Consider the following 22,625-nt stretch of genomic DNA (forward strand, 5'->3'; position numbering starts at 1 on the left):
CGTGCAGGGAATATTTGGGGTGCAAACGGGTGCTGTCATGGAAAACTCCAGATTTGAGGGCTTTCATACCTGGAGCCTAATGGGAGTGAGGTGGATTGATGCTGGATGGGATGTGGCCTCTACACTTGCTGAATCTTTTACTGACTTCTATGTTCCTCATCGGCCTAGGGTTTCCTGGGTCTTGCTCAATCTTTTCCACACTAAATGTTTTGGGAAGTGTGGTTCACGCATGATGACCCTCAAGGATATACATGCTGTGAGTGTTTCCTTCTAAACACTGTCACGTTTTAATGACTGGGTAACAGTGATACCTTTAAAACCATGAATTCCTGTTACACCTGCCAACAATGAAACTCATTTTCTCCCACTTCTATTGAAGAGCTGCATAATTTCTCCAGGATGGAAGCAGGGAGCAGTGGCTGTCTTTTGCTTGGTACTAGGGTCTGTTTCATTTCATCTGCACATTCCTTATCATTGTTGAAGGGGGTCTTTAATTGGGCTGTTGCTGGTTGAAACTGCCTCTTGCCACAAAAACTTTTCACTACCAGGGATCTCAGAGAGCAAAAGGGACTTCAGGTAGGCTGGCTGCACACCAGGTTGTGGGTGATTGTCACATTCTGGGGGCTGAGGTTGTTTTCAATCTGCAGGAAGTTTTGGGTTTCCTGATAGGAATCACTGAAGATTGCTTGGACACCAGCACAAGACAGCTCGTTCTCTCAGGCAAGCTTTGATTTTTCTTTGCTCTCATGGGAAATCCACAGTGCCCCTCAACAACACTACTGGTCACAGTTTTCAGGCTTGCCATAGCCAAAGACAGTCCTGAGACACCGTCTCAACCTCATCTGCACCTGTGAGAGGCCAATCAGAGGTGTGAGAACACTGCTCCACCGTGGACTTGCCTTTGTCGTGGTCCCTGTCTTTTGCAGAGAGCCCCTGTGAGGCCCAGGAAGAAGGGAGGCAGTGAGGTCAAGAGCCTGGCAATCTTTCATTGACACCCTCGTCTGGGGTCTCAGGTATGATGCTATCACCCAAAGAACCCTCGAAAACACACCACACACTATTCCAATCAGCAATAAGTAAGAATCACCAGATAATATTCCAATCTGCAATCCGTAAGAAACATGCGATTCTTACACACAGCTTCTTTTGGAAATGGAGTCGGAAAAGCAGTTGCCAGCGACCAAAAGGACAGTCTCGAAACACGTCCTTCTCCAGTGGGACCCAACTACAAATACAGCTCCAAGGGGCCCTGAGGTCGAGACTTTTAGGGTCCCGCAGTTGGTTCTCGCAGGCAGGCTTTTACCCGATACCAAACCGGCTCTGAGTATACCGCCTTCCTTTGCTTAGGCAGGCTGACAGCTCTGACAGACTGGAGCACGAGCCTGCCTCACGAATGCGCATGCACTAGTCTCAGGGAACCAGTCTTGATTATCAGCACTGCCTAGACTCGTAAAGATTGTCTCTTTTGCCTAGCGACAATTTCCTGCGGCTTGGCAGAGAAAGAGACCTCTGTGGAGGTGCGTCAGTGGTGGACTCTCACCTGTTGGATGCAGGGGATAGTCCCATCATCCTAGGTGAGCGCAGACGTGAGCCAGCCTGAAGAAACGGCAGCCATAGCCTCAGGAATAAACCGCAATATCCCTAATGATCCAAAAAGATCTGCAGGATTTCTCAGGCCTGCCTACACATCGTAGCGGTGAGTGTTTATGAAACTTGCACCTCTGTTATTTTCAGGTACAACCCGAGTGTGTTCTCCATGGTTGCTCTCTCCAAGTTGGGGATTCCTGCAGAACTAGGCAGCCTCAGGAGCTGCTGGGCTGTGTGTTTCTGTGGCGATGTTGTGAGTGTTGAATGTCTGCGTGTGTGTGGCATTGTGTGTTTGTGTGTGTGTGCTTGTAAGTGGAGTCTGCTTAAAGGAATATGGCTAACTCGATTCAGAGCTTCTTCTTTCTCTTCTTCCTCTTCTTCTTCTTCCTCTTCTTCTTCCTCTTCCTCTTCTTCCTCCTCCTCCTCTTCTTCTTCTTCCTCTTCTTCTTCCTCTTTCTATTCTTCTTCCTCCTCCTCTTCTTCTTCTTCTTTCTTCTTTCTTCTTCTGCTTCTTCTGCTTCTGCTTCTGCTCTTCTTCTTCTTCTTCTTCTTCTTCTTCTTCTTCTTCTTCTTCTTCTTCTTCTTCCTCTTTTCTTCTTCTTCTTCTCCTTCTCCTTCTCCTTCTCTTTCTTCTTCTTCTTCTTTTGAGTCTGAAAACCTTTTGGTGGCCTGTCTGTGTGGCTCTGCTTGGGATGTGGGACTCCATTTTTTTTGGTTTGTTTGTTTGTTTGTTTTTTCTATGGATCATAAATCTACAGTGAATTGGAATGCCAGCTGAGGCCTGTCAGTGTCTAAATCACTTTCCCTCGCAAAAACAGCCACTGTTTTAGAAAGGAGAACACCACATCAATAAAGAGGCATTCCCTAGTGTTTTATTGTCTTGCAGACAACCCAAAGAGAGACACTAGCAGTCTTGTCCTCAGGGCCCCTTGAATTTCCTCAAATTCTGTTCCCAGCTGAACAGGTGCTTCATTGTGTGAGGGGGCACTCCTCCGTCATCTTGGGATTTCATCCTGGGATAGAGAGTGTGAGAAGAAATAAGGTGAGATATGGACGGGGGTACAATCTGATGAGGCATGGATAGGGTCCACTTCACCTGTAAAATACATGAAGATAGATGACATAGAAGGTGCTTCCAAATCCATTCCCACATTTACTTAATTGAACAAGCCATCCCACATCATGGCTCAGTGTTCAGGCAGGAATACTCCAATGTCCAATTATCATTTGGAGTGCAAACTTGTGGCATCCTATCAAACTCCCGATTTGAGCACTTCCATACCTGTAACTAAATGAAGTGGAATGCATTGATGATCGGTGGGATGTGGCCTACACACTTGCCTCTCCTTTTCATGACTTTCGTGTTCCTCATTGGCCTAGGGTTTCCTAAGTGGCTACGTGACACCCACGCTGAAAGTTTTCCAGTTAACAAAGAAGTCCCCTCAAAGGCATTCATGATGTGAGTGTTTCTCTATAAACACTGTCACGTTTTAATGACTGGGCAGCTTTGATACATTTAATACCATAAATTCCCATTACAGCCACAACAAAGAAACTTTTGTTCTTCCACTTCTATTAAAGGGCTGCATGATTCCTGTAAGATAAGAAGCAGTCAGACATGTCTATCTTTTTTCTGGTAATCTAGCCTCTGTTTCATTTCATCTGTATGGCCTTCTCATATTGCAGGGGCTCTCTCATTGAGCTGTTGCTTGATGGTACTGCCTCTCGTCATAGATTATTTAGCTGCCAGGGATTTCAGAAAGCAAAAGGGACTTTGGGTAGGCTAGCTGGGCTTCATGTTGTGGGTCATCGTCTCATTGTTAGGGGTGAGATTGTTTGCACTTTACAGGAGACTATTGGGTCCTCTGACAGGAATCATTGAACACTGCTTGGACTCCAGCACAAGGCAGATCCTTCTCTCAGGTGAGCCTTTATTTTTGCTTGCTTTTACGGGGAATCAACAGTGCCCTTCAACAGCATTACTGGAAAACTTTTTCAGGCTTGCCATCTGCACAGACAGCCTCTGAGACACTCTCAACCTCATTTGCTCATGTGAGAAGCCAGTCCTAGGTGTGAGAACAGTGCTCCCCCTTGACTTGCCTTGCCGTTGTTTCTCTCTTTCCCCAAGAACCCCTGCAAGGCCCAACATGAAGCGAGGTAGTGAAGTCAAAAGTCCAGCTATCTTTGGCTGGAACCTGCCTCTTGGGCCTCAGGTATAATTCTATCACCCAAAGAACCCTCAACAACACACCAGACTGTATGCCAATCCCCATGGGACCAGATACTTGCACACAATATCTTCAGGGAATGGAGTCAGAAGAGCAGTTTCCAGAGACCACCTCACATTCTCAAAATGCTTTTCCTACAGAGAAACCTGACCACAAAGAAGGCCTGAAGGGGCCCTGTGGTCCAGACTTTTAGAGTCCTGCTGTGGGATTTCTCAGGCAGCCTTTTTCCAGATACCAGGCTGGCTCTGCCTGTACTCTTTTCCTCTGCTTAGGAAAGCCAACAGCTGTGACAGACTGGCTCCTGTGCCTGCCTCAAGGATGTGCATGTTCTAGTCTCAGGTCATCAGGCCTGATTATAAGCTTTGCCTAGAGTCACTATAAATGTCACTGCTGCCTAGCGACAAGTTCTTATGGCTTGGCATAGAAGGAAGTCTCCGTGGAGGTGTGTAGGTGGTGCAATCTCACTGTCTTCTCTGTGAGATCCAAGGGATCATCCCATGATCCTCAGAGAGGGCAGACATGAGCCAGCCTGAAGAAAGTTCAAGCATAGTCCCAGGAATAAACTGCAAAATCCATAAGGATTCAACACTTTCTGCAGGATTCCTCAGACTTGTCTAGATGTTGTATGGGTGAGACTTTTTGAAACTTGCCCCACTTTGATTTCTAGGTAGAGCCCGCCTGTTTTCCCCATCTGTTTTCCCTGGTGTTGCACTCTTTCAGGTTCTTCCTGCAGAGCCATGCAGCCTCAAGAGCTGCCAGGCTGTGTGTTTCTTTGAGAGTGTTGCAAGTTTTGGATGTCTGTGTGTGGCTTTGTGTGTGTGTGTGTGTGTGTGTGTGTGTGTGTGTGTGACTGCAAGTGGAGTCTGCTTAAAAATATGTAACTAACGCATTGCAGAGTTTCTTTTTTTGGTCTCACAACTTTCTGGTGGCCGGTGTGGCTCTGCTTGGGCTGTGGGGATCCGTGTTCATTATTTTTCTGTGAATCATGAACATTTAGTCAATTGGGAGGCAGGCTCAGACATACTAAGGTCCAAATCACCTACTTTTGCCAAAAAAAAACCCACTCTTCTGGAAGAAGGGAAACATATCACACCCAGGAACAGCCATCTCTCAGTATTTTATACTCCTGCCACCAACCCAAAGAGAGACACTACCAGTCCTGTCTGCAAGGCCCCTTGAATTTATCTCGATTTTTTTTTGCCCACCGAGGAGGTGCTTCACTTCGTGAGTGGACACTTTTCCATTGTCTTTGGATTTCATTTTGGGATAGAGAGTGTGAGCAGAAATAAGGTCAAGTAGCAATGAGGATAAAATCTGGTGAGGGGTGGATGGTGTCCAGAATATTCACCTGCAAAAAATGTGAAGAAGATGACTCTGAAGGTGATTCCAACAGCATCCCCACATTTCCTTTATTGCACAAGCTGTCCACATCATTGCCTGCTGTTCAGGTAGAAATACTCCAAAGTGCAGGGAACACATGAAGTGCAAACTGGAGACATCCTGGCTAACTTACAATTTGAGGGGTTTCATACTCAGAGACAAATGAGAGTGAGATTGATTGATACATTATGAAATGTGGTCTGCACACTTACCTCTTTTTTTTCCTAACTTCCAACTTATTTATTTATTTTTTTCGGCCTCAGGTTTACTGTTTCTGACTCAACCTTTTCCATGCTAAATATTTATGAGTTCAAGAAGGTGACCCTCAAGAAAATCCACTGCCTGTGTGATTCCTTCTAAATACTTTATCATTTTAATGACTGGGCAGCTGTGATAATTTCAAAACTGTAAATTCCATTACAGTTGCCAACAAGCCAACTCTTCTTCTCCAGCTTTCATGGCAGTCCTGCATGTTTCCTGTAGGATGAGAATCAGGCAGCTGTGTCTGTCATTTGCCTAGTAATCTAGGTTCTATTTCATTGCATCTGCGTATTCTTTCTCATTGTGGAGGGTATCTTTCATTAAGCTGTTGCTGGATGAGGCTGCCTCTTGCCATAGTTCTGTAGGCTACCAGGGATTTCAGGAAGCAAAAGGGACTTTGGGCAGGCTGGCTGCACTCCAGTTTGTGGGTCATATTCTCATTGTGGTTCTGAGGTTGTTTGCAGTTTCCAGGAGTCTTTAGGGTCCTCTGACAGGAAACTTTGAACGTTGCTTCGACTCCAACACAAGTCTTCTGTTTCTCTTATGTGAGCCTTGATTTTTTTTTTTTTTGCTTCCGTGGGGCATCCACAATGTCCCTCAATAGCAATACTGGACAGGCTTTTCAGGTGTGCCATCACCACAGATGGCTTCTGAGTCACTGTCTCAACCTCATCTGTGCCCATTGGAGGCCAGTTCGAGGTGTGAGAATAATGCTGCAATTTGGACGTGTCTTTGTCATGATTCCTCCCTTTCCCAGAAAGCTCATGCAAGGCCTAGGATGAAGGGAGGCAGTGAGGTTAAGGGCCTGGCCATCTTTCACTGGCACTTGCTTCTGGGGTCTCAGGATGACACTATAACCCAAAGACCCCTGCGCAATTCACCAGACTACATTCTGTTCCCCATGGGACCCGATTCTTGCACAGGGCCTCTATAGGGAATACAGTCAGAAAAGCAGTTTCCAGCTACCATTTCACAATCTTGAAACACAACCTCCTCTAGTGGGAACTGACCACGGAGACTGCCTGAAGTGGCCCTAGGGTCAAGACTTTAAGGTTCCAGCAGTGGGCTATCACAGTCAGCCATTCTCCTGATACCAGGCCAGCTCTGCCTGTACCATTTTTCTCTACTTAGGCAGGCTGACAGCTCTGATGGATAGGTGCTGGAGCCTGCTCCTGAATGTGTATGTACCAGTCTCAGAACACCAGGCCTGAGCTGTGAGCTCTCACTAGCATCACAATGAATGTCACCATTGCCTAGCGACAAGTCTCTGTGGTCTGGCAGAGAAGGAGACTTCCCTGGTGATGCGTCAGCGGTGGACTCTCGCCTGTCTTCTCTGTGGGATCACGGCATAGTTCCATGATCTTAGTAGAGGGCAGACATGAGCCAGCCTAAAGAAACCTGCACCACTGTGATTTCCAGGTACAGCCTACCTGTATACTCAGGGGTTGCTCTCTCCCAGATGGGGCTTCCTACAGAAACAGGCAGCCTCAGAAGCTGCCAAGCTGTGTTTTTCTTTGTGGGTTTTGTGAGTGTTGGATGTCTGTGTGTGTCTGTGGCTTTTTGCTTTTGCGTGTTTTTGTGTGTGCGTGTGGCTGTAAGTGGAGTTTGCTTAAATAAATGTGATTAATGCACTGCAGCACATTTTTTTAAATCTCCCAACCTTTTGGTGGACTGTCTGTGTGGCTCTGCTTGCGCTGTGGTGCTCTGTGTTCTTTATTTTCTGTTGGATCATGAATCCGCAGTAAATTGGGAGGGTGGCTGAGACAAGCCTGGTTGAAATTACCTCCCACTGAAAAAAAAACAAACAAAAAAAACAAAAAAACTATTCTTCTAGAAAGAAGAGGAGCATGCACATCCAATAATAGATGTCTCCCTGTATTTCATTGTCATGCCACCCAGAGTGAGTGCCACCCAGAGTGAGACACTAGCAGTCCTGTCTGAAGGGCCCCTTGAATTTACCTTGAATTCAGTTTACAGCAGGGCAGGTGCTTCACATCATCATGGGGCACTCCTCCATCATCTTGGGATTTCATTCTGTGAAAGAGAGTATGAGTATCAACAAGGTCAGACAGGGGTTAGGATACAATCTGGTGAGGGATAAATAGAGTCCCACACCTTCATTTGCAAAAATCATGAAGACAGATTACACAGATGGTGCTTCTAACTGCAACCCAGCTTTCTCTTAATTGCACAAGCAGTCCACAGCATGGCCTGGTGTTCACATGGGAGTACTATAGCATGGAGGGGCTATTTGAAGTGCAATCTGTGGCCCTCCTGGCAAATTCCCGATTTGAGGACTTTCATACCTCAAGCAAAATGGGTGTGAGATGTATTGATGCTGGGGGGAATGTGCCCTCCACACTTGCCTCTTCTTTTTCTGAATTCCATCTTCCTCATCGGCCGATGGATTCCTGGGTCAGTCTCAACGTCTTCCACTCTAAAGTTTACACAGTTCATGGAGAACGATCCTCATGGGATTCCACTCTGCGTGTGTGTGTTTCCTTGTAGACACTGTCATGTTTTAATGACTGGGCAGCTATGATATCTTTAAAAACATAAATTCCCATTACAGCCGCCAACAAGGAGACTTATTCTTCCACTTCTGTCAGAGGACTGCATGATTCCTGTAAAATGACAAGCAGACAGCATTGCCTGGCTTGGGATCAAAGCTCTGACTCATTTCATCTGCCTGTCACTTCTAATTGTGGAGAGGGTCTTCCATTGGGCTCTTGCCTAATGGGACTGCCTCTCATTAAACATCTTTGGCTGCCATGGAATTCAGGGAGCAAATGGGATTTCAGGTAGGCTGGCTGTGTTCCAGGTTGTGGTTGTTGTCTGTGTGGGGGCTGTGGGTGTGTGCACTTTGCAGGAGGCTTTTGGATCCCCTTCCAGGAATCTTGGAATGTTGCTTGGACTCGAGCACAAGACAGCTTGTTCTCTCTGGTGAGCCTTGATTTTTATTTGCTCTCATGAAAAAGCCACAGTGCACCTCAACAGTTCTACTGGACGAAGTTTTCAGGCTTTCAATCACCACTAATGACCTCTTGAGACACTGTCTCAACCTCATCTGCATATGTAAAAGGCTAGTTCAAGATGTGAGAACACTGCTCCACCTTGGATTTGCCTTTATGATGGTTCCTGTCTTTCCAAGATCTCTTGTGCTAGGGCAAAGATGAAGGGAGACAGTGAGGTCAAGGCTTAGGCATCTTTTGGTGACACCTGCCTCTGGGATTTCAGGTATAATTCTATCACCCAATTACCCCTCAACAACTCCCAAGTCTATATTGCAAACCACGTGGGACCCGATACTGGCACACAGCCTCTTTAGGAAACACAGTCAGAAGAGCAGTTTCCAGCAACCACCTCACCATCCCAAAACGCCTCCTTCCCTAAAGGGACCCGAACATGGAGACATCCTGAAGGACCCTTAAGATTGACATTTTATAATTTGGGAGTGGATTATCACAGGCAGCCTTTTTCCTGATACCAGACTGGCTCTTCCTGTACCATATTCCGCTTAGGCAAGCTGACAGCTCTGACTGCCAGGCGCCTGAGCATGCATCACTAATGCACATATGCTAGTCTCAGAGAGTGTTTCAAGTGTTGGATATCTGCATATGAGTGTGGCATTGTGTTTTTGTGAGGGTGTCTTTGTGTGTGTGTGTGTGTTGGCCTGTAAGTGGAGATGGATTACAGAAATGTGGCTAATACACTTCAGCGTTTCTTTTTGTGTGTCTCCCAGCCATTTGCTGGCCTGTTTGTGTGGTTTTGCTTGTGCTGCAGTGTTCCCTGTTTTTTATTTTTCTGTGGATCATAAATCCACTGTGAATTGGGAGGGTTGCCGAGAGCCACTGGTGTCCAAATCATCTACACCTGCAAAAAAAGCCAATCTTCTAAAAAGATGAGAAACACACAACACCAAAAAAAATAGACATCTCCCAGTGTTTTATTGTCCTGTGACCAACCAAGGGAGAGAGACACTAGCAATCTTGTCCGCAGGGACCCTTGAATTTACATAGAATTCAATTTCCAGCTGAGCAGGTTCTTCATGTCATGAGGTAGCACTTCTGCAACATCTTGTGATTTCATTCTGGGACATAGAGTATGAGGAGCAGCATGCTCAGATGGGGTGAAGATACAATCTGGTGAGGAGTGGGTGGGGTCCCACAACTTCACCTTCCAAAAAAAAAATGAAGACAGAGGACACAGAAGGTACTCCCAACTCCATGCCTGCATTCCCTTAATTGCACAAGCAGTCCACACTGTGGCTCAGTTTTTAGTTGGGAGTACTCCAACGTACAAGGAACAATAGGAGTGCAAGTCAGGGCCACTTTGGCAAACTCCCGATTTGAGGGCTTTCATACCTGAAAACAAATGGGAATGGAATTCATTGATTCTTTGTGGGATGTGGCTGGTACACTTCCCTCTTATTTTCCTGAGTTCTATGTTTCTCATTGGCGTAGGGTTTCCTGGGTCTGGCTCAATGAGTTCCACACTAAACATTTCCTAGTTCATGGAGAACACCCTCATGGGAATATATTACCAGAGTGTTTCCTTCTAAACACTCTCACTTTTTAATACCTGGGCAGCTTTGATATTTTTAAAACTGTTAATTCCCATTAGAGCCACCAACAAGAAATCTCTTGTTCTCCCATTTCTGTTGGAGAGCTGCATGATTCCTGTTGGATGAGAAGCAGGGAGGTGTGTCTGGCCTTTGTCTGGTAATGTGGCCTTTGTTTCATTTCATCTTCACGGACATCTCATTATGGAAAATCTCTTTTATTGGACAGTTGCTGGATGGAATTGCCTGTCCTTACAGATTATTTAGTCTCCAGGGTTTTCAGAGAGCAAAAAGGGAATACAGGCAGGCTGGCTGCACTCCAGGTTGTGGTTTGTTGTCTCCTTATGGGGGCTGAGGGGCTTTGCACTTTGCAGGAGGTTTTTTAATGTTCTGACAAAAATTATTAAATATTGCTTGGACTCCAGCACAGGGCAGCTCATTGCCTCAGGTGATTTTGATTCTTCTTTGCTTTCATGTGGAGTCCTCGGTGCCCCTCAACAACACCATGGGACACCATTTTCAGGCTGGCCATTTCCACAGACCGTGTCTGAGACACTGTCTTAACCTCATCTTCACCTGTGGGAGGCCAGTTCAAGGAGTGGGAACACTGCTCCACTTTGGACTTGCCTTTGTCATGGTTCCTGCCTTTCTCAGAGAGCCCCTTTGAGGCCCAGGATACAGGGAGGCAGTGAGGACATGTACCCAGCCATCTTTTGCTGACATCCACCTCTAGGGTCACAGATATTATTCCATCACCCAAAGAACCCTCAGCAACACACCAGACTATATTCCAATCCTCATGGGGCCAGATTATTGAAAACAGTCTCTTTCCAGAATGGAGTCAGAAGAGCAGTTTCCAGCGACCACCTCACAGTATCAAAATGCCTCCTCCTCCAGTGGCACCTGACTAAGGAGACATCATGAAGATGCCCTGAGGTCCAGACTTTTAGCGTCCCACTGTGAGTTTTCACAGGCAGCCTTGTTCCTCATACCAAGTGGGCTCTGGCTGTTTCATTTTCCTCTGCTTCAGCAGAATGATGGCTCTAAAAGCTGTGTGTCCTAACCTCCCTTATGAATGTGTGTATTCTAGTCTCAGGGCACCTGGCCTGATTGTGAGCTTTGCCTTGCCTCATAATGAATGTCACCATTTCCTAGTGACAAGTACCTGCAGCTTGGTAGAGGAGAATTCCTTAGATGTGAGTTGGCCTTTGGCTCTCGACTGTCTTTTTTGTGGGATTTAAGTGATTGTCTCATCATCTTAGGAGAGAACATAAGTGAAACAGCCTGAAGAAATGGCAAGCAGAGCCCCAGGAATAAACTGAGAAATCCCTATGGATTTAAATGGATCTGTAGAATTCCTCAAGCCTGCCTAGGCTTTGTAGGGGAGAGTCTGTTTGAAACTTCCACCGCTGTGATTTTTAGGTATAGCCCATATCTCTTCTTTGAGGTATCTCTCTCCCAGTTGGGGCTTACTGAGAAACTACACAGCCTCAGGAACTGCTGGGCTTTGTGTTTCTGTAGGATTGTTGAGAGTGTTGGATGTCTGAGTGTGTGTGGCATTGTGTGTTTGTGTGTCTGTCTGTCTGTAAGTGAAGTCTGCTTAAAGAATTGTGGCAAATGCATTTCAGCACCCTTTTTTTAGTCTCTCACCATTTGGTGGCCTGTCTGTATTGCTCTGCTTGGGCTGCAGGCTCTGTATTCTTTATTTTTCTGTAGGTCATTAATCCACAGTGAATTTGCACACATGCTGAAACCTGCCACCATCCCAATCACCTCCCTATGCCAAAAAATAATAATAATAAAAAAGCCAGTCTTCTAGGAATAGGAGAAGGACATCACACCAAAAGACAAACATTTCTGTGTTTTATTGTGCTGTGGCCAACCCAGGGAGAGACACTAGCAGTTCTTTCTGCAGGGCCCCTTTAAAGGGTTACCTCGAATTCAGTTCCCAGCAGAGCAGGTGCTTCATGTAGTGAGGGGTCACTCCTCCGTTTGTGTTGAGATTTCATCTTAGGACATAGAAAATGAGCAGCAGTAAGGTCAGGTAGGGGTGAGGATTCATTCTGGTGAGGGGTGGATGGGATCAAGCAACCTCACCTGCAAAAAAAATGAAGACCCATGACACTGAATGTGCTTCTGAAACCACTCTTGCATTCCCCTAATTGCACAAGCAGTCCACTCCATGGCCTGGCGTTCAGTTGGGAATACTCCAAAGTTTAAGGAACGTTTGAAGTGCAAGTTGGAGCTTTCCTGGCAAACTCCTGATTTAAGGGCTTTCATACCTGGAGCCAAATGGGAGTAAAATATTTTGATGTTGGGTGAAATGTGGCCTTCACACTTGCCTCTTCTTTCCCTGAATTCCATGTCCCTCATTGGGCTAGTGTTTTCTATGTCTGGCTCAATGACTTTCAAACTGAACATTTCCGAGTTCACAAAGAATGAGCCTTATGGGAATCCATTGCGACGGTGTTTAATTCTAAACACCGTCAAGTTTTAATGACAGGGCAACTTTGATATTTTTAAAACTATAAGTTCCCATTGCAGCCACCAACTAGGAAATTCCTGTTCTTTCACTTCTTTCAGAGGGCTGCATTATTCCTGTAAGATGAGAAACAGACAGCCTATTTTGGCTTTTGCATGGTGATCAAGCCTCTGTTGTATTTCATCTGCAAGTCTTCTCATTAGGAGGGGCTTTTTCATTGTCTGCTGCTGGATGGAACAGCCTCTTGCCACAGATTATTTGGCTGCCAGGGATTTCAAAGAGCACAAGAGACTTCAGGTAGGATGGCTGCTCTCCAGGTTTTGGGTCATTATCTCCTTGTGGGGACTGCGGTTGTTTGCACTTTGCAGGAGACTTTTGGGTTCTCTGACATGAATCATTGAACATTAATTGGACTGCCGCACAAGACAGGTCTTTCACTTAGGTGAGCCTTGATTTTTCTTTTCTACCATGGAGAACCCACAGTGCCTCTCAGCAGCACTACTAGACACACTTTTCAGGCTTGCCATCACCACAGACAACATCTGAGACCCGATTTCAACCTCATCTGCACCTGTGAGAGGCCAGTCCAAGGGGGAGAACACTGCACCACTTTGGACTTGCCTTTGTCATAATTCCTGTCTTTCCCAGAGAGCTGCTACAAGGCTCAGGATGAAGGGAGGCAGTGAGATAAAGAGCCCAGCCATCTTTCACTGACACCCACCTCTGGGGTCTCAGGTATGGTTCTATCTCCTAAGGAATGCTCAACAACGCACCAGATTTTATTCCAATCTCCATGGGACCCGATTCTGGTACACAGTCTCTTTTGGTAATGGAGTCAGAAGAACAGTTTCTGGGAAACACCTCACTGTCTTGAAACACCTCCCCTTTCAGGTAGATCTGACCATGGAGACAGCCAGAAAGGGCACTGAAGTTGAGACTTTTAGGGTCCAGCAATGGGTTATCCCAGGCTGCTTTATTACTGGTATCAAGTCAGTTCTGCCTGTACCATTTTTCTCTGCTTAGGCTGGCTGACAATTCTAACAGCTGGGCACCGGAGCCTGCTTCATGAATGCTCATCAGCTAGTCTCAGGGCACCAGGCCTGAATGTGGGCTCTGACTAGCATCACAATGAATGTCACCATTGTTTAGTGACAAGTCCCTGTAACTTGGTGGAGAAGAAAATATCCGTCGAGGTTCTTTGGCATTGGACCCATATTTGTCTTCTCTTTGGAACCTATGCCATAATCCCATGAATAGAGGAGAGGGCAGAAGTGAGCCAGCCTGAAAAAATGTCAGTCAGAGCCCCTGAAATAAACTGTGAAATCCCTAAGGATCCAAAAGGATTCACAGGATTTCTCATTCCTGCCTAGACTTTGTAGGTGTGAGTATTTTTGAAACTTTCCATACTGTGATTTTTAGGTACAGCCCATCTGTGTCTCCCGTGGTTGCTCTTTCATAGTTGGGTCTTCCTACAAAACCACAGAGTCTCAGAAACTGCCAGGCTGTGTGTTTCTGTGGGAATGTTATGAGTGTTGGATGTCTGTGTGTGTGTGCTATTGTGTTTGTGTGTGTGTGTGCCTGTAAGTGAAGTCTGCTTAAAGAAATGTGGCTAACGCACTTCTTGGATTTTTTTTTCTGAGTATTCTAACATTTTGGTGGCCTTCCTGTGTGGCTCTTCTTGGGCTGTGGGGTTCCATGTTCTTTATTTTTCTGTGGATCATGGACTGCAATGTATTGGGAGGGGACCAAGACTCTCAGGCCTCCAAAACTCTGCCCCATGAAAAAAGAAAAAAAAGCCACTCTTGTAGAAAGAAGAGTAGCATATCACACCAAAAAAGGGACATCTTCCAGTGTTTCATTGTCCTTAGGCCAACCCAGCAAGAGACACTGGCAGTTCTGTCAGCAGGACTCCTTGGAGTCACATCAAATTCAGTTTCCAGCTGACCAGGTGCTTCATGTAGGGAGGGGGCACTTCTCCATCATCTTGATATTTCATGCTGGGACAGAGTGTAAGCAGCAATAAGGTCAGATGGGGTGAGGAAACAACCTGGTGATTGGTGGATGGGGTCCCACAACTTCACCTGCAAAAAAAATGAAGACAGATGATACAAAAAGTGCTTCCAACTCCATCCCCACTTTTCCTTAATGGCACAAGTAGTCCACACCATGGCTGAGTGTTTAGGTGGTAAGGAAGGAGACCACCTCTCTTATTATCTCATAACTCAGAATAAGAAAGAAGAAGCAAAAGCTAAAGAAAGGCAAAAATGAGATCAATAGTCAGACAGCGCAGCCTCACACCCCAGGCCTGGTAGTTAAAATTGAGTCCCTGACCTAAGCGCTTGTATTATCTATAGATTGCAGACGTTGTATGAGGAAGCATTGTGAAACTTTCTCTACTGTTCTCTTCTGTTCCTTCCTGATTATTGATGCATACCACCCCAGTCACATACCCGCTGCCAGCTCAACCAATCACAGCCCTTTCATATGGGCCCTTAAAGTTGTAAGCCTTTAAAAGGGGCAGGAATCTCTCTATTGGGGAGCTCAGTTTGTGAGATGCAAGTCTGCGATGCTCCCAGCCAAATGAAGCCACTTCTTTCTTTAACATGGTATCTGAAGGGTTTTGTCCACAGCTTGTTCTGCTACATTTTGTGATTCCCCTACGTGTAAGTGAACTGATTAGTGGACAGTCGATGCAGCCTCTTAGGTGGCTTAGGCCTGCCCTGTAGAGCATGCTTGTGCTGGGCTTTGGCCAGCTTGAGAAACGGGGATCCTGAGAGTGCTCCCGTGTAAGCAATTACCGTAGTGGAACACCTTGCCAGAGCAGTGCACAGCAGGCCCCCACAGAGTATTGACACTGTGGCTGCATGCCCTAAGGGAACTGGCACTTGGAGTACAGACATCTGGAACATGATAAGACTGGTCTTGAGAATTTACCAACTCCATTTGAGTGAAAGCGTGGCCTGATCACCCATGGCATGACTTTATCAGCACTTTGGTTTTGGTTTTGATTTGGACTTGGCTTCATTTACTTGATGTAATGAATTAGATGTGTAAGTGACCTTTGCCCTTTCCCCCTTGCAGTGCAAATGTTGTCTTGTCTCAGGAGAAAAATGGTTCAGACAAAAAGTAAGCCCACCCCACTAGGAACTATGTTGAAAAATTTCAAGAAGGGATTTAAAGGAGACTATGGAGTTACTATATCAAGGATACTTAGAACTTTGTGTGAGATAGACTGGCCAGCATTAGAAGTGGTTTGGCTGTCAGAAGGAAGCCTAGATAGGTCCCTTGTTTCAAAGTTATAGCACAAGATAACCTGTAAGCCAGGGCATCCAGACCTGTTTCTGTACATAGACACTGGTTAAGGCTGGTTTTAGAACCTCCACAGTAGTTAAGAGGTCAGGCAGCAGAAGCAGTGTTAGTGGCAAAGCGACATATATCCAAGGAAGGATTGGGCTCCACCTGATGAGGGAAGTTGGCTCCTAAATTTCAGTCTGACCCAATATCAGAAGACCCATGGCAGGAAATGGCACCAGTTATGGCCTTCTTCACCAAGAAGAGAGACTGCCCACAGCACGTGTGCCTCTGCAGGACACACACATCCCTAGGCCACCCAGAGTAGACAAAAGAAGATGTGAAGCCACGGGAGGAACCCCGCCTTTGGCAGCTCATTTACAACATAAGACTGGAATACAAAGGCCCCTGAAGGAACAGTGGTATACTGGGGTAGATGAGCATGGGCATATGGTGGAAAGGCATGCCTCTGTGTATCGACACTTTACCTCTGCTGATCTCCTAATTTGAAAAAGCAGTACCCCATCTTATACTGAAAAGCCTCAAGCTTTAATTGATTTGCTCCAAACTGTGATCCAGACACACAATCCTACTTGGACTGATTGCCATCAGTTGCTAATATACCTCCTTAACACAGATGAAAGATGAAGAGTGCTCTAGATGGCAACCAAGTGGCTGGAGAAACGTGTTCTGGCCAATTACAAAAACCCCCAGGAGCATGTGGAACCCAAAATAAGGGGAAGGTATAGAAAGGCTAAACTGATATAGGAAAGCCCTCCTAGAAGGGTTAAAGAAGGGAGCTCAGAAGGCCACAAATGTTAACAAAGTCTCTGAGGTCATTCAAGGAAAAGAAGAGAGTCTGGCATAATTTTATGAAAGGTACTCTGTGAGGCCTATCATATGTATACTCTCTTTGATTCTGAAAGCCCTGAAAATTAGTGCATGATTAACATGACTCTAGATAGTCAAAGCAAAGAAGATATTAGAAAAAAACTTCAGGAACAGGCTGGGTTTGCGAGTATGAACTGTCAAAGGCTGATGGCCTACTTCTCTAAACAAATAGACAGGGTTTCTAAAAGCTGGGCATCATGTTTGAGGGACTTATCAGTAACTGCCCTGCTGGCACAAGAAGCAGATAAACTAACTCTTGGACAAAACATGAACATTAAGGCCCCCCTTGCTGTGGTGATTTTAATGAATACAAAAGGACATCACTGGATAAAGAATGGTAGACTAGGTACCAAATCTTGCTCTGTGAAAATCCCCGCATAACCATTGAAGTTTGTAACAACCTGAACCCTGCCACCTTGCTTCCAGTATCAGAAAGCCCAGTTGAGGATAACTGTGTGAAGGTGTTGGACTCAGTTTACTCTAGAATACCTGACATGTGGAACAAGCCTTGGGCATATGTGGACTAGGATTTGTACTTGGAGGGTAAGAATTTTGTCAACCCACAAGGAGAAAGGTATGCAGAATATGCAGTGGTGACCCTGGACACTGTCATGGAGGCCATACTCTTGCCCCAGGATGCTTCAGCCCAGAAAGCTGAGCTCATTGCTTTAATTCAGGTCTTGGAACTCAGTGAAGGTAAGACTGTAAACATTTACACTGACTCTCGGTGTGACTTCTTATCCCTCCAAGCGCATGGAGCATTATAAAAGTAAAGGTCCTGTTAAACTCTGAAGGAAAGTACATAAAACATCAGCAAGAAATTGTGCAATTATTAGAAACAGTATGGAAACCCCAAAATGTGGCAGTCATGCATTGCAGTAGACACCAGGGAGCTTCTACCATGGTTGCTTTAGTGAACTCCAGAGGTGACTCAGAGGTTTGAAAATCAGTCTCTGGCCCTTACCAGTCATCAGTCTAAGCCCTCCTGCTTCCTCAGGCATCTGACCTTGTACCTACCTATTCTAAAGAAGAGAAAGCCTTTTTTCAGGTGAAGGAGGGCATACAGCAAAAGAGGGATGGATCTGGTTACCAGAGGGAAGAACAACCATGCCACAACTGCTAGGAGTCTCATTTGAGGTTGCTGTGCATGAAACTACCCATCTAGGTCAGGAATCACTTGACAAGTTGTTATGCAGGTACTTCTGTGTCTCATATTTTTCAGCCCTTGCCAGAACGGTGGTGCAGTGATGTATTACCTGCCAACAGCACAATGTGAGGCAGGGTCCAGCCGTTCTGCCCAGCATACAACTTGAGGGAGCAGCCCCTTTTGAAGACCTCCAGGTGGACTTCACAGGAATGCCAAAGTGTGGAGGTAACAAGTATTTTCTAGTTCTTGTGTCTACCTACTCTTGGTGGGTAGAGGCTTACCCAACACAAACTGAAAAGCTCATGAAGTAACCCATGTGCTTCTTCGAGATCTTATTCCTAGATTTGAACTGCCCTTATGAATCAGCTCATGTCATGGGCTGGCATTTGTGGCTGATTTCGTGCAGAAGACAGTAAACATATTGGGGATCACATGGAAACTGCATGCAGCCTACCTACCTCTTAGTTCTGGAAATGTGTTACGATTGAATTGGACTATGAAAAATAGCTTAGGGAATGTGTGCCAGGCAACAAGATTAAAATGATTACAGGCTCTCCCTATGGTATTGTTTAAGACAAGATGTACCCCTTGTAAAAGGACAGGATATTCCCCTTATGAAATGTCATATCACAGAACCCCTCCCTTATTATAGAGACACCCAGGGACGCCTCAAGATTTAGGTGAAATTGAGTTAGAGCAACAACTACAGGCTGTAGGAAAAATTACACAAACAATTTCAGCCTGGGTAAATGAAAGTTGCCCTATTAGCTTATTCTTCCTTGTTCACCTCTTCTCCCCAAGTGATCATGTGTGGATCAAGGACTGGAATGTAGCCCACCCACAACTACGGTGGGAAGGACCCCAGACCATCATTTTGACGACTCTCACAGCATGAAAATAGAAGGATTCCCAGCCTGGATCAATCACAGTCATGTATCATCTACATTGTCTGAGACCTGAGAGGTGAGACTGAGCCTGGTGGACCCCTGCAAAGTGACATTGAGAAAGATGGCAAGCCCTGCTACAGTCACAACCAGAAGCTTACTGTTGTATGCATGGCAAAAGAATGAGGATACTCATCATGGGATTTATTCTCCTTAAAATTTGTACTTCTATAATAAAGACTGATTTTTCCTGCATGGAGGACTGTTCCCAGTTTATTCATCAGGTTACTGAGGTAGTACAACAAGTTCAAAGAATCTTTTTGTTTTATATTTATTATGAATGCCTAGGAACTTCAAAAGGAACTTGCCTATATAATTCGACTCAGTATAAAGTGTGCAGCCTAGGAAATGACTGACCTGATTTGTACTACAACCCATCTGAGCCTCCTATGATCACAGTCTTTGAAATAAGATGAAGAACTGGTCCATTTCTTACTGATACAAGTAAAACAATAGCTAAAATAGAAGAAAAAGGAAACCCCAAACAGATAATCTTAAATTTTGATGCTTGTGAATCCATCAATAGCAACCAGTAAGGATTAGGATGTGGCTCTCTAGATTGATAAAAAAGTTATACAGCAGACAATTAGTATATTTGTCATGAGTTAGGCTTATGTGAAAAAGTATGGAATTACTGGTCTGGCATCATTTGGGCTACCTGGAAAAAGAATGAAAAAGATCTGGTATGGCTTTAAAAAGGAAAGGGTGATTCCTCTTGCATGAATGGCCACTGTAACCCCTTAGAAGTAATAATCACCAAACTCCTAGTCCCCCATTGACAAAAGGGAGAACATGTAACTCTATGGATCAATGGAGCTGAACTGGTCCTCGAGTAAATATTTTAGTCCTAGGAGTGTTGAAAAGGCACTCTCTCAAACCAGTGTTTCAGACCTTGTATGATGAATTGAATGTGCCAGTACCAGGGCTCCCAGGGAAGACAAAGAAGCTGTTCCTGCTGTTAGCAGAAAATGTAGCCCATTCCCTCAATGTACTTCCTGTTATGTATGTGAGTTAACCACTGTGGAAGAACAGTGGTGTTGGGAAACCGGAGAATTAGTGCCCACTAATCCAGTTCCTGATAGGATTCCAGTCCAGAATGCCCACACTGACAACTTCTGGTTCTTAACTACCCAATTATTAGGCAGTACTGCATAGTTAGAGAAGGAAAGAACTTCACCCTCCCTCTGGGAAGGCTCATCTGCCTTGGGCAAAAACTGTATAATGGCAAAGTAAAAACAGCCATTTGGTGGGTTTCAAACCACACTGAGAAAAATCCATTTAATAAATTTCCAAAGTTGTAATCTATGTGGACCCATTCAGAGACTCATTGGGACTAGACTGCCACCACTAGACTATAACGGATATGTGGGCATAGAGCCTACCCCAAGTTATCTCACCAATGGTCAGGTAGTTGTGTTATCAGCACCATTAAACCATCTTTATTCCTACTGCTCAGGAAAACAGGTGAACTCCTGGGTTTTCTGGTCTATGCTTCCTTAGAAAAGAGAAGCATAGCTACCGGTGATTGAAAAGATGATGAGTGGCCCCCTGAAATAATCATACAGTAATATCAACCTGACCCTTGGGCACAATATAGCTCTGGGGATGCCAAACCCCCATTAAATGATCAACAGGATCATATAGTTGCAAGCTGTCTTAGAAATAATCACTAATAAAATCAGTAGAGTTTTGACTGCTTTAGCTAGGCAGTAAATCTAGATGACAAATGCTATTTATCAAAATAGATTAGCCCTAGACTACTTGCTAGCAGCTGAAGGAGCAGTCTGTGGAAAATTTAACCTAGTCAATGGCTGTCCGCATATAGAAGATCAAGGAAAAATGTCAAAAATATAATCAGAGATATGACAAAGCTGGCACATGTTTTTATACAGGTTTTACATGGGTTTGATCCTGGATTAGTATTTGGAAAATGGTATCCCAGCACTAGGAAGATTTAAAACTATTGTAATAAGAATAACAATAGAAATAGGAACTGGCTTGTTGTTCTCCTACTTGCTGCCCATGCTCCTTCAAATAATGAGAAAGTCTGTTACTGACTTTGTCCACCAAAGTGCTTCAGAACAAGTATGTTACATGAATCCATATCAATCTGTCTTGCAGGAAGACCCAGGTACTGAGGATGATAAGTACTCCCACTAATAAGTGAGATCCTCAAAGGGGGTAATAAGGAAAGAGACCACCTTTCTTATTGTCTCATAACTCAGAAAAAGAAAGAGAAAGCAAAAGCTAAAGAAAGGCAGAAATGAGATCAATAGTAAGAGAGTCCAGTGCCACAGCCCAGGCCTGCTAGTTAAAAATCAGCCCCTGACCTAAACATTTGTATTATCTATAGATTTCAGACCTTGTATGAGAAAGGGATGTGAAACTTTCTGTGCTGTCCTGATTACCAATGCATGGAGCCCAGCCACATTGTCCATGCTGGCCCAATCTATCACGACCCTTTCAAGTGGGCTCACTTAGAGGTGTAAGCCTTTTAAAGGGGCAAGAAACTCTCTCTCAGGAAGCTCAGTTTTTGAAATGCAATCTGCCCAAACTCCCAGCAGAATAAAGACACTTCCTTATTTAACTAGGTGTCTGAAGGGTTTTGTCTGCAGCTCATCCTGCTACAGTAGAAGAAGTACACCAATGTGCAAGTAATATTTTTAGTGCAAATAGCAGCTAACCAGGAAAACTCCTGATTTATGGGCTTTCATACCTGGAGTGAAATGGGAGTGGAATGGATTGATGCTGTGTGGGATGTGGCCTCCACACTTGTCTCTTCTTTCCCTGCCTTCCATTTTCCTCCTCAGCCTAGGGTTTCCTGGGTCTGGCTCAAAGACTTCCACAGTAAACGTTTCCCAATTCAATGAGAATGACTCTCATTGTGAGTGTTTCTTTCTAAGCTTTGTCTCGTTTTAATGACAGGGCAGCTGTGATACTTATAAAACCATAAAATGTCATTAGAGACTCCAACAAAGATACTTTTCTTCTTTCACTTCTATTGGAGGGTTGCATGATTCTTGTAGCATAAGAAGCTGGTAGCCTTGTCTAGCATTTGCCTGGTAATCTAGCTTCTGTTTCATTTCATATGCACAGCCTTCTAATTGTGGAGGTGTGGTTTCATTGTGCTGCTACTGGATTGGACTGCCTCTCAGAACAGATTAATTAGCTGCCAGGTATTTCAGAGAGCAAAAAGACTTTGGCTAAGCTGGCTGTGGTCGAAGTTGTTGGTCATTGTTTTGTTGTGGGAACTGAGTTTGGTTGCACTTTGCAGGAGGAACTGAGTTTAGTTACACTTTGCAGGAGGCTTTAGGGTCTTCTGTCAGGAATCATTGAACATTGGTTGGACTCCAGCCCAAGGCAGCTCATTCTCTCAGGTGAGCCTTAATTTTTCCTTACTTTCATGGGGAATCCACAGTGCCCTTCAACAGCATTACTTGGCATACTTTACTGGCTTGCCATCAGTGCAGACAGCCTTGGAGATGCTGTCTCAATCTTATATGCACCTGTGAGAGGCCAGTCCAAGGTGTGAAAACACTGCTCCACATTGAACTTCCCTTTGTTGTGATTCCTGCCTTTTCCAGACAGCACCTCTGAGGCCCTGGATGAAGGAAGGCAGTAACAACAGCAGTCCTGCCATCTTTCATTTACACCCACCTTTGGGGTCTTACCTATGTTTCTATCAGTGAAAGAACCCTCAAAAACACACCAGACTATATTCCAATTCCCGTGGGACTCAATTCTTGCACAGAGTATCTTTCCAGAATGAAGTCAGAGGAGCAGTTTCCAGCAGCCACCTCACAATCTCAAAATGCCTCCTCCTCCATCGGAAACTGACCACGGAGACAACAGA

General features: G+C 45.0%; 1 long non-coding RNA gene across 1 annotated transcript; it reads left to right on the forward strand.

Annotated features, from left to right (window-relative positions):
* Positions 1 to 6,762: 6,762 nt before the first annotated feature.
* Positions 6,763 to 13,598, forward strand: LINC00279 (long intergenic non-protein coding RNA 279). The gene is made up of 4 exons (NR_138045.1): positions 6,763 to 6,875; positions 12,601 to 12,796; positions 13,148 to 13,390; positions 13,523 to 13,598. It is a non-coding gene; the product is annotated as a long intergenic non-protein coding RNA 279 (long non-coding RNA).
* Positions 13,599 to 22,625: the final 9,027 nt, after the last annotated feature.

Source organism: Homo sapiens, chromosome Y (genome assembly GCF_000001405.40).
Source record: "Homo sapiens chromosome Y, GRCh38.p14 Primary Assembly".
Lineage (NCBI taxonomy): Eukaryota > Metazoa > Chordata > Mammalia > Primates > Hominidae > Homo > Homo sapiens.